This window comes from Homo sapiens, chromosome 15, assembly GCF_000001405.40.
Source record: "Homo sapiens chromosome 15, GRCh38.p14 Primary Assembly".
Taxonomy (NCBI): domain Eukaryota; kingdom Metazoa; phylum Chordata; class Mammalia; order Primates; family Hominidae; genus Homo; species Homo sapiens.
In genome coordinates, this window is record NC_000015.10 from 72,769,722 (window position 1) to 72,782,666 (window position 12,945).

General features: G+C 42.0%; 1 protein-coding gene across 10 annotated transcripts in view; it reads right to left on the reverse strand.

Annotated features, from left to right (window-relative positions):
* The window catches only part of ADPGK (ADP dependent glucokinase), a 32,465-nt gene that overhangs the window by 18,428 nt on the left and 1,092 nt on the right, over positions 1-12,945 (reverse strand). For 7 of the 10 annotated variants that reach the window (NM_001365228.1, NM_001365227.1, NM_031284.5 and 4 more), the window contains exons 2-3: positions 5,151-5,376; positions 2,062-2,124 (exon numbers count right to left, since the gene is read on the reverse strand). The exons of 1 other annotated variant lie outside the window; for it this stretch is intronic. In NM_001365228.1, the coding sequence (NP_001352157.1) occupies positions 2,062-2,124; positions 5,151-5,376 (289 nt within the window). Of the gene's footprint in view, positions 1-2,061; positions 2,125-5,150; positions 5,377-10,475; positions 10,494-12,945 lie in introns of those variants that run through there. 2 more of the 10 variants (XM_047433164.1, NM_001365229.1) reach the window with 2 other exon arrangements.

The following is a 12,945-nucleotide window of genomic DNA, read 5'->3' on the forward strand; positions in this document are numbered from 1 at the left end:
TCAAAGATGCAATATAGCATGGCTATTAGGAGAATGGATTCTGAAGCTTGACTACTTGGGTTCAATTCCCACTCTACTCATTATCAGGTATGTGATTTTCACCAGTTTTAACTTCTCCATGCCTCATTTTTCCTATCTGCAAAATGGGGATAATAAAAAGACTTCCCTTATAGGGCCCTATGAAGATTTAAATTGGTTCATACACATTTAAAGCACCTAAAACTTAAAACAGTGCCTGGTATATGGTAAAAAACTATAGAAGGAAGTGCCAGCTATAATTACCACCTCTGGAAAATACCTAGTTCTTAATCTCTGTAGTTCTCAGATGATCTCTCAGTCCATGTTGAGAAGCATTTCAGAAAGTTAAACTGAGTCTCTTTGAGAGTGCATACAGGGTGAAGTAAAGGCAGAGCCTGACACTTGAATCCTGACTCTATCATTTACTAGCCAGGTGCCCCTGGGCACCTTACTTAGCCTCTCTAGACCTCTGTCTTTGAAATCATAAGACTGTTGTGAGGATTGAGTAACAGAATGCTTCTCTTTCCTCAGTCTCCTACCAAAGCCAGACCTGTTTTATTAGAATGCCTTCCAATCAGACTGGTCCCAGGACCAGCTACTCCAGAGACCAAGAGCAAATGCTGGTCCCAGGGGAGGTCAATACTGAAAGGTCAATCTTGTACTCAGCCATGACCGTCCTGGGTATTGTCTTCCCAGAGGGCAGAATTATTTCTCAGGATCAGGAGGGTGGCTTCTTAGGAAACCATGAAAACTCCTGGGATTCTGATGGGAATGGCCTGGGCTCTCTCTAAAGGGCTTATGATCAATCTCCTTTTCTTCCACCCATTAGCTGGTAATATTTCCAAAGGTCAGCCCTGGAATTTCTAATCTTCTCTATTTGGGAGTTAATTACAATTTATAAACATAATGACTGCAAAAGTCTTTATTTTCTTTTTATTATTCTTTCTTAAAAGTATTTTCTACCCTAATATTTCATGAGAACTTTGATTCCTATTAAAATATGAATGTTCACATTTTAATATCCTCTCTAAACTGAAAGCACATCTATCTCCAGGTGTATAGTGTGGCTCCATATGAATTTTTCCCTGAAACTGCTGATGACCTATCCGTATTTCTGAGTTCATCTCTGGCTTCTGGTTCCACCACTCTGACTCACATTTCTATTTTTAGGCTGGTCCCCCAAAACTAGAAGACTGTTCACAGTCTGTTTTCTAGTGTTAGCGGCCACAACCATTCTGCACTGATCAAGGTTATTTACTCCATAATCATCTTTGATAAATCTCTTCTTTGTTCCCCATGTATTGTAGTAGGTTTTAGATACATGTTTCTCCTCTCTGGCTGCTCTAATCCAAACCTTAATCATTATACAGGAAAACAGCGATAACTTTCTTGTTGGCCTCCCCCTTCAGGCCTATTCTACTCATAGCAAGAGAAACTTCTTACTCAGGTGTTACTGTGAACATGGCAACGATTTTTAATTCTACTTAAACCAAACAATTTAAGTCTTGAAGACACTCCCCTACTGACTCTCATCTAGTGGCTTTTATTTTTTGGCACTCTGGATCCAGGCTCACCAACACGGCCAACCGTTGTTTTCCCTCATGACTTGTATAATCCTTAGTCTCAAGGCCCACATGCTCCTAACTATTAAATGATATGGTGCCTAAGAACATGGGTTATTGGGTCAGACTGCCTGGGTTAAATTTCTCATTCCATTACCAATCAGTTGTGAACCTCTGTGTGCCTCAAGTTTTCTCATGCAGAAAGGAAGAACAATGGCAGTACCGACTAGCCTTACAGGGTTTGTTGCAAGGATTAGATAATCTATGCAAAGCACTAAAGACAATGTCAGGCACAGAGTAAACACTCAAAGTATTAGTTACTACTATCTCCTACTATTACTGCTTCCTAACAAAAGACCCAGGGTCTGGTACATAGTAGGTGATCCATAAGTTGAATCAAGGAATAGATACTCATTCTTGCTCCTAAAATTATTGAAACACTAGGGAAAGGCATAGGTTTTAATCTAAAAACTTGACCTACCTTTAAATCTGAGTTGGCTGCAAATTTCTGTCCAATTAAAGCTGCATTTCCTCCTACATAGTGCTGTAAGAGAGTTCAAGGCTTTTAGACAGTATTTTAATACAACTATATCACCCAAGTTTAATCATTTTTTATTTTAAAAATTAATTTATAGTCCATTTCCCAAAAACATTTTGAGGTGATTTTACATCAAAGGACACACAGATGAAGTGAATGCAACACAGAAATAGAAAGTGAGTAATAAGATGAAGAAAATAAATAGGACAACCATGAAAATGAGTCTGATTGCTTTAACTGTTGATCAAATTCAGCTCTGAGCTTACAGACAGCCAGAAGAGACACAGGAAACAGGAAAAGTGTGGACAGGGCTTATCGTCTACATTATAGTCCTTCTAAAATGAAGAAAAATTTCACTATCCTGTGGAAAAATCATTCAGTAGATACTATAATGAACTAAAATCTAACTCTTGAGTGAGGCACATATGGCCTTTATCTAACCCATGTTTTCCTTACTACCTTCATCTCCTGCCCTTCCCTTCCACACCCTGCTTACAGCTCTCCAAGTCAGCCTTCCCCTGTCTCTGTGCCTTTGGCACATGCTGTTTCCTTCCATTAGGACACCCTCCCTTTCTCATATACTAGGTAAAACCCTGATCACTTTCCAAGAATCAGCTGCAGTGTCACCTCTTCTGTAATGCCTTCTCTGTTCCCCTTACACCCCACTGACATCTCAGCCTTCACAACCGCCCTCACCAGATAGGATTACAGATCTCTTCCTACCCCTATAACCTGAACAAACCTCTAATGCAGCTCTTGTCTGCTTGGGCTACTATCATCTGGGTACACAACTAGGTCCTTCGGGGCAGGGACTGTCTTCTTCTGAAGTGTTCAGTAAATGTTTGTTGCTAAATTTTGAGAAACGAAGAAACACACTGATGTGTTGGGAAACATAAAAGTTTTCCTGGGAGTAAATTCTAAAGATAATGGGCCCCTAATATAGGACAGTACTTTCCCTTAAACACCACATCTCTCAGCTGAGGACCTGGAGAACAAATAATTCAAGGTTGGTGTTCCATGTTGCTAAGGATGGATCCATATGCCTTGGAAATCTGACACATAACAGCTAAGGCTGCTGTTCTATTATAAAAGTTGAAAAGCCTGATAGTGTTACCTGGGTGGAATGCTACTATCCCAGCTTCCTAGTCCTCAGCCCACGCAGAGGCATAGACTAAACCAGGGGTGTCCAATCTTTTGGCCGCCCTAGGCCACACTGGAAGAATTGTCTTGGGTCACACATAAAATACACTAACAATAACGACAGCTGATGAGCTATTAAAAAAAAAGGGTGGGGGGGAGGTTAAATCTCATAATGTTTTAAGAAAGTTTATGAATTTGTGTTGGACCACATTCAAAGGCATCCTGGGCTGCAGACTGGACAAGGTTGGAGTAAACAATTCTAGATGGTAGACATCACTCTTATCCCAATTTTGTGCTGACTAACCTCTGAATTCAGGTGGGACAGTAATAGCTTTTTAGAGATAATTTAAAACTTTCTGTGATATGTAGGCTGAAATTTGGCCCTTTAACATGTCAGCCTTAATGTTTTATTCAACCACGATAGTTAGAATTTACTAAAAAAAATCTTGGGAAAATAGTAAGATATCTACAAAGTGGATTTCAGAATTTTCATATAATGTTTATCAACCTGCCTTAAACTATAAGGAAGTATGAAAAGGCACTCCTCTAGTGAAAGGGGTTTTACAATGTTAAGAAATAACCTGGACCATCACAAAGCTAGATCAAGTTGCTGTAAAAATTTTTTTCATCAAGAAATAAAGGCAGAATCAAGAGAGAAGAGAAATCAAACTGGTGGTTTAAATTCCGTAATCATAAAGACTTTTGAGCAGTGAACTCATCATGTTAGAACTATCGAGATTCTCTCATAAGAGATAAGAATCTCACTACTGATCCCAGTTGTCAAAATGATAACTGAAATCTTAACTTGCTGTCACCTTTAGAAACTCAGCTAGGTAATGCCTATGTCCATTTCTAATGTTCAAATAGGCAGCTTCGAAGACAAAAAACTTATTTTTAAAATTTTTTTGAGACAGGGTCACACCCTGTTGCCCAGACTGGAGTGAAGTGGCACGGTCATGGTTCACTGCAGCCTTGACCTCCCGGGCTCAGGTGATCCTCCCACAGGCACATGCCACCATGCCCAGCTAATTTTTTGTATTTTTTGTAGAGACAGGGTTTCACCATGTTGCCCAGGCTGGTCTCAAACTCCTGGGCTCAAGCAATCCACCTGCCTCAGCCTCCCAAAGTGCTGGGATTACAGGCGTGAGCCACTGTGCCCGGCCTAAAATCTTAAGTCATCAAAATAAAAGTAGTCACAAAGGTTTGCCTGTGAAAGGTGCCAATTAAAAATGGCATTAAGAGCTTCCCTGGCTAGAACTACCAAACCAGACTGGGTGCCCAGCCAAAGGGAGGTTTAAATGAGGAGGAAGAATGGGGTGGGGGCAAGACATGGGAGATAACCAACCAACCAAAACTCAGCCTCAAGAGGCATGAGGGTACATGTAGGAGCAGGCATACTGGGGTGAGGTAGGAAGAGCCATGGTTGGGTCTCCAGCCCCAGCACTGCCTCTTATTCCACGTGAACCTCCAGGAAGTGCCTGGACCATGCAGGGCTTTGTATATAATCACCAGGTGAACTTGGAAACCACTAAGGTTCTAACTTCGACAGGTTCTACCTTGCAGACCAGTGGTTCTCAAAAGGAGGTTCTCAGACCTACAGGATCAACCAGGAAACTTGCTGGAAAGGTAAATTCTTGGGTCCCATCCCACATCTACTGAATCTGAACTCTGGTAGTAGGCCCAGAAATCTGTGTTTCAACAGCCTCTCCAAATGATTCTGACACATGCTCAAGTCTGAGAACCATCAACCTAGACCCACAGTTTTCAACCAGGGGTGATTTTGCTCCCCTCCTCTTCAAACTGGAATGAAAAGTTGCTTGCTTGCTTCTAGGAACCATATTAAAAAGGCATCTTTTTCCACCCTTAATTTACTATTGCTGAACCAAACAGACCTGGGCTCCTGGGAACTCTGATGCAACCTGGGCAATGTCGTGAAAAGTTTCCTTATCACTGAAGAAGCGCTCAGCAGCTGCTCCCTTCCCCATGAAGTGAATGAAGGCTTCTTCCAGATCATTCCTTGAATGCAGAATGCTGTGATCTTTCCCATTCCCAGGACTAAGGCCAAGTGCCTGCAAGAGCTTCACCCCTGAGAGCACCACATCAACACATGCATTGACTCTAGAAGGAGGAAAAAAACTGTGTGAAAGCAGCAGAAGCACCAAGTAGCCATTTTGCATTTAACAAAAGGAAAATGTTTCTCAGAACCTTATTCAACAGAAAAAACAGGAAGTAGGTCTGAAACCTGAATTGGGAAGTAAACAGCACATGGCAGGAGAAAAATTACTTTAACTGGATTTATGTATTAGCATCAGAACACAGGACTCTTCAATAATTTGGCAAACTTTTACACTAGTTACAAAGTGAGAAGATAGGTGCTTAGCATTTCAGAACAAAGCTACTGTAACAAAAATGTAACATTTCTGAGAAAAACGCTGGCAGAGCCAAACAGGATTCATGCTGGCCGTGTGACTTGGGCAAGTCACTAATTTCTCTGTGCCTCGGTTTCCTCATCCACAAAATGGCAATAATATGAGCATTTAACTCATAGAGCTATGGTTAAGATTAAATAAGTGAATGTATACTTAGGAACAGCAATTGGCGCAGAGTAAGCAAAATATGTGTTTCAGTCAAAGGCTAGGTATCAGGCATCTTCCCTCTAAAAACAAATGAGGATGGTAAGATACAATAAATTCCTAAATGCCTGAGTACTCCCAGCTGAAACCCTGCCTCTTAGAATTTAGTGGTGTTTTACAGACTTAGGCACACCTGCAGCATTTTAAGAACTCACCCTTTGGCCAGTGTTCACAGGACTGACCCATGAACGTTAAAGACCTGCCACTCCTGGTTGTCTCGATGGAAATTATAAAGTACAGGTTGAATCCCTTATCTGAAGTGCTTGAGATCAGAGTGTTTCCGATTTTGGAATATTTACATATACATGAGATATCTTGGGAATGCAACCCAAGTCCAAACACATTTCATATATACTTTATACATACAGCCTGAAGGTAACTTTATACAATGTTTTAAATACTTTTGTGCATGAAATAAAGTTTCTATTCCTTACGTGTGGGTGGAATTTTCACATATAAGTACTTAATATACATCAGTGGCATCATGTCAGTGCCCCAGAGTTTTGGATTTCAGAGCATTCTGGATGCTCAACTTGTACTAAGGTTGTCTGGCATGACCTCTCCTATGTGTGTATGGAGAAAGTCTGTCTTACATTTTCAGGGTTTCTTTGCTAAGTCATCCCTCTTTTAAAGAGAACGTTCAAATAATTAAGGTAGCTAGATGAGGTCTTCCCGCCCCTACCCCTATCATGGTCATCTTTATTCCTGCCTCTGCCTATTGGGATGTCATTCTGGCCAGTGAGGTTGGATTACCACACAGGCAGCTCCCAGCCGGCAAACTGAGACCACCCCTAGTGATACGGGTGACTGGGCTTCAGAGTTAATTCTGAGCAGCTCTGAAACCACAAGGTAAACTCATTAATAAAAATGTCCCAATGGATGAGATTTTGGTGTAAAATACATAGTTGTATTTCCCTTTTAGTCTCTTTCAAAAATGAAGAGGAATGAGACTGGGATGAAGAGGAATTTTACCAGGTATATTTCTACTTTTAACATGCTTGTATTCCTTTTAGAATTTTTAAAATGACATAACTTTAAAAAGGTTTGTATGCAGACTAGATATTATTTACATCACTTAAGGAAGATTTACAAGGGCAAGGAAGAGACATCCTCCCTCAAGACACAAAGAGACTGCATCCTCATTATAAGGGTCCTTTTTATTAATTCTTCCCCTAGGGATTCATGTTTTGAAAGGAGTTTTGCCTATCAAATAGCATTTAAATACTCAGTTTCTTGTTCAAGACACACATAATGACTCTGGTCAACTGGAGAAGCATAACCTAAGATTTACTATGCCTTTCAGTGCATAAAACATCTAGCTACTGTATTTGGCCCTTCTCTTTAAAAGAGGGATGATTTCTAGTAAAGAAACACTGAAAATATAAGCCAGAACTTCTCCATGACACACACAGAAGGGGCCATTCTGGACATGCACGTGGCAGTTGCTTAAAGATATGTTTAAAATCTTTCCTTTCACAACCTTCAATGTTAAGAAACCAAACACACCTTGCAAACTGGTCTCAATTTTACCTCAGACATGGTGCCCTTTATTTCTAATGAATGCAACATTAGATTGGTAGAATCAACAGGAATACAAGTATCTGTAGCTCTCAGACGCCAGTAGGTTCCTAAGTTTCAGACAGTGAGGGCTTGAGTAAGGAGGGATACCATTTCCTCCAGACAGCCCAGTCTAAAAAAATTGTATCCAAATGGATTTGGGTCCCGAGTCTGAAGAGTAAAGGTTCAGAAATGGAGGGAAACCTGTCTTTGAAAATAACTACTTCAAAAACTATAAACACCCTCAAGCCTGTAATCCCAGCACTTTGGGAGACCGAGGCAGGTGGATCATGAGGTCAGGAGTTTGAGACCAGCCTGGCCAAGATGGTGAAACTCCATCTCTAATGAAAACACAAAAATTAGCTGGGTGTGGTGGTGGACACCTGTAATCCCAGCTACTTGGGAGGCTGAGGCAGGAGAATCGCTTGAACCCGGGAGGTGGAGGTTGCAGTGAGCTGAGATCGTGCCATGGTACTCCAGCCTGGGCAACAGAGCAAGACTCCATCTCAAAAACAAAACAAAACAAAACAAAACTATAAACACCCCACTCTCCATATCTAGTACTGCTGAGATTTTAAACAGTCTGACTCCTTAAAATGAGAATGGGGAAAGCTGTTCAGTATATTTTGTAACACAAGGCAAAACCCAACAGAACTAATTTTGAGTTACAAAATATCACTATCATGGAACATTTTCCATCCCTCACCTAATCATACCAGGAATACCGGGGGAAAATAACCAGTTTTTCAGACTGGTTCACAGTTTACTTGATAACTTTTTATAATTAAAAAAAACCAGGCTGAGCACGGTGGCTCACACTTGTAACCCCAGCACTTTGGGAGGCCAAGGCGGGTGGATCACTTGAGCCTAGGAGTTCCAGACCAGCCTGAGCAATATAGCAAGACCCCGTCTCTACAAAAAATACAAAAATTACCTGGGTGTGGTGGTGCACACCTGTAGCCCCAGCTACTCAGGAAGCTGAGGCAGGAGGATCACTTGAGCCTGGGAGGCAGAGGTTGCAGTGAACCAAGATGGCACCACTGCTCTTCAGCCTGGGTGAGAGAGCAAGACCCTGTCTCAAAAAAACACTGAACATCTACTACATGCCGGATGCCAAACAAGTACTTTACATGTACTTTCTTGTTCTGTTTTATAATACTTTAACCAGAATAAGAATCTTTCTCTGCACTTTCTCAACTCAATAGCATCCCAAAATGTAAAAAGCATATTACCTAAGGGGCTGTATTGTCAAGGGGAAATAAAGGGAGACACAGTTAAAGAATCAGAAGACAAAATTATGCTCATCTGACATGCAAGCAGAAGCTCACACTTCAGTAAAAAATGTATATTAGATGACTGTGATTTTGGAGAAAACACAGATGAAACAACTAGAAAATAGGTCAAGACAACAGATGCTGAATGTCAAAATGGGTTGGGGGGCTGGCAAAGAGGGCACAGTTCTCCCTTCTAGACCATAAGTGCCTCTAAGGCAAAGACGATGTTTCCTATCTCCTCCCTTCTGTTTCATCACCTGTAAAATGTTTTCTAAGGTTTTCTCTAGCTTTACATTATGTGCATCAGCTGTTATAAGAGCTAATCGTAATTGTTAAGACATAGAACTGTAAAGAGGCGGGGGAAAAATGGCTAGGGCAGTGGTCCCTGTGCTGAACCCTAGCTCCTGCATCTAGATAGAAGAAAGGCGGCTGATCTTTAAGAAGCACCCCACGCTAGGCAGGCATTTTCAGATAGATTAAACCTATTTGCAAAATGCGGTAAGATCGCTAATTAGTCATCACTGCTTTCAGCTGAGAAGAGTGAGGCCATGGATTAACTAACATTCCAAAGCCCACAGACAGGCAGAGCTGAAATTCAAACCCAGATTTATCTGATGATACTGAAACCCACGTAGGAAGTATACACAAGCAAAGTTGTACATGAAGGGATTAACCTTGTGTTTGGATACAATAAAGAATTATCTAGCTAGAATGGAGAATTCATACAGGGGAGAAGACCAAGATATGTTTCAAGGTTCAGGGTGAAGCCAGTTCCAGGGGCAATAAATATTAGCATGAGGGTTTTTTTTTTTTTTTTTTTTTGAGATAGAGTCTCACTCTTGTTGCCCAGGCTGGAATGCAACGGCGCGATCTCGGCTCACCGCAACCTCTGCCTCCTGGGTTGAAGCGATTCTCCTGCCTCAGCCTCCTGAGAAGCTGGGATTACAGAAATGCATCACCACGCCTAATTTTTTTATTTTTAGTAGAGATGGGGTTTCTCCATGTTGGTCAAGCTGGTCTCGAACTCCTGACCTCAGGTGATCCACCCACCTCAGCCTCCCAAAGTGCTGGGATTACAGGCGTGAGCCACCATGCCTGCCGGGTTTCATCATTTTTAAACCAATGAATAGGTACCAGAGTCTGATTTAGAAGCAGGGGAAGTTTCCTAGAAACGCCTTAAAACTCCTCCTATCCTTTACTTCTTTGACCCCTTTTCACCAGCCCCTTAATGCACTAGCATTTAAGGGCTAGTGCCTCCCAGAATTCCACCTTTACCATTTTTACCTTCTCCTCTTCTCTTCCTGGGTGATCCTATCCAGTCTCTGGCTTCAACCTAAGTGCCAGTGTCTCCAAAATTTGCAATCCTGTTTCTCAATATATTCCTAAAAACCAGCTTCTCATTTTCAGTAGCTGACAGAGAAGCTTCATCTGAAATCCCATAACAATGTATGTACATTTCTCCTCCTCTGAAATCCAATTTATCTTCTGAAACTTGTTTTTCTTAAATCTCTCTTAATGGCAACAACATGGCATCAACAAGGAACCAGAAATGGGAAAGACCAGGCTTCAATTGCTCCTCTGGCACTTGATAGCTACAAGATCTTGGGCAAATAAATCAATGTGAGAAGACTCGGTGACAATATCTGTTATCTGCCTCCCTCATAAAGTTGTTGCATTAGTCAATTTTCATAATGCTATAATGAATTGCCCGGGACTGGGTAATTTATAAAGGAAAGAGGTTTAATTGACTTACAGTTCAGCATGGCTGGGAAGGCCTCAGGAAACTTACATTCATGGTGGAAGGTGAAGGGGAAGCAAGGCACCTTCTTCTTAAGGTGTCAGGAAGGAGCCGTGCCGAGTGAATAGCAGGGAAGAGCCCCTTATAAAACCAAAGGATCTCATGAGAACGAACTCACTATCAGGAGAACAGAATGGGGGAACCGCCCCCATGATTCAATTACCTCCACCTGGTCTCTCCCTTGATTAGCTTATGGGGATTACAATTCAAGATGAGATTTGAGTGGGGACACAAAGCCTAACCATATTAGTTGTTATAAGATATTTAATACTGGGCTGGGTGTGGAATCACAGCTGTAATTCCAGCACTTTCAGAGGCCAAGATGGGAGGCCAAGGCCTGATCCCAGTAGTTGAAGACCAGCCTGAGCAACTTGGCAAATCCTGTCCCTACCAAGAATATAAAAATTAGCCGGGTGTGGTGGTACATGCCTGTAGTTCCAGCTACTCGGGACACTGAGCATGACAGGTCAAGGCCACAGTGAGCTTGAACATGCCACTGCACACGCCAGCCTGGGTGACAGAGTGAGATGCTGTCTCAAACAGAAAACAAAAACTAAACAAGATATCCAATATTAAAAACCTGTCGTTTTTGACTGCCTTTCTTTACTCCACCACATCCAAACTATTATTCAGGTTATCTCTCAAATCTCACCTCTTCTACATCATTGCCGAGTTTGGTTCGGGCTCCTTTCTCCCTTTACACAAACCCTACAATGGCCTCTTAAACCAGTGTCAGGATGTCAAGATATTCCTCCTTATGAATCACATTAAATGGCATTTTGAGTGTGTCTGTGTGACAGAGAGTGTGAATACGAGTGTGTCTCTAGAGAAGTCAAACTACAACCTCAAAATGAGATTCTGATACAAGTACTACACCTGCTCCCCCTCATCCCTCCTATATCCCCCTATCTTTGGGCTAAAAATCCTCTTTGGGTAATAAATGATGAGAAGCAGTGAAACAGTTTAGAACCACTGCTCAAAATCCACCCTTCACATTCCCACCAATTCTCAACAAAGAACTTGTCATCAGTTAACTACTTACAAACCTTTATGGCTTCCCCATAAAAGGCCCTTCACAATCTGGTCCAACCCTTCGTTCTCAGCATCATCTCTTTACAACCCTCTACCATAGGATTCTCGCTCCAAAACAAGGCCGACCTGTTCCCAAACAAACCATGTACTTTTTCACATTTGGTTCTCTTGCCTAGGTGGACCTGTTCCCACTTTGGCTTGAAGAAATCTCATTTATTTAGTGTCTGTCCTATGAAAGTCACTGTAGTAAAATATATTTTCCAAGATGGTGGCAATAAGATGCCCCATTCCAAATGTTCTTTTCACAATGTGACACTGATGCTCCTCCCATCAAGGTTTGTTCTATGTCCCCTCCCTTAAAACCAGGTGGACCTGTGACTCTGGTAGAAGAGTTCCTATGTGCTTCTAAGGTAAGGTCGTAAAAGGCATTAAGGCTTCTGCCTGGTCCTCGTGGGTTGTTCCTCTTCTAACCATAATTGTTATGGATTGAATTGTCCACCCCCCACCAATTCATATGCTGAAACCCTAATTCCCAATGTGACTATATTTGGACGTAGGGCCTTTAAGGAAGTAGTTAAGGTTAAATAAGGTCATACGGGTGAGCCCTATTCCAAAAGGACCTAGTGTCCACATAAGAAGAATAAGAGGCACCAGGAGTGTACATGCGCAGACTAACTGAAAAGCCAGCTGGCTGCAAGCTAGGAAGAGAGGCCACATCGGAAGCCAATCCTGCCAACACCTTGATCTTGGACTATCAGCCTCCAGATCCACGAGAAAACAGATTTGTTGTTTAATCCACCTAATTTGTGGTATTCTGTTCTAGCAGCCCAAATGACTGATACAATAATATGTTTCCAACAAGTGAGACAGGGGCCTTGCTTCACCCATCTCTGTATCTTAAGAACCTAGCACAGACCTGACACTAACCATGTAGTTGGTGAATATCTGCTGAATGAACGCGCATAAAGCAAGGAAGGACAATTTAATCCCAGCACTTTGGGAGGCCAAGATGGGAGGCTGGCTTGAGCTCAGGAGTTCGAGACCAGCCTGGGCAATATAGCAAGACCTCGACTCTACTAAAAAAAATAAAATAAATAAAAAATTGGCTGGGCGTGGTGGTGCTTGCCTGTCGTCCCAGCTACTCCAGAGGCTGAGGCAGAAGGATCTCTTGAGCTCGGGAGTTCGAGGCTGCAGTGAGCAGTGATTGCACCACTGCACTCCAGCCTAGGCGACAGAGAGAGAGACCCTGTGTCCAAAAAAAAAAAAAAAAAAAAACCCCAAAATTATAGCTAATATCGAATGCTTTTTAAAGCAGGCACTATGCTAGAGAGATTACATGAATGATGTCATTTAATCTTCAGGCCAAGTTTGCTCTACTTTACCCCTCCCGGCC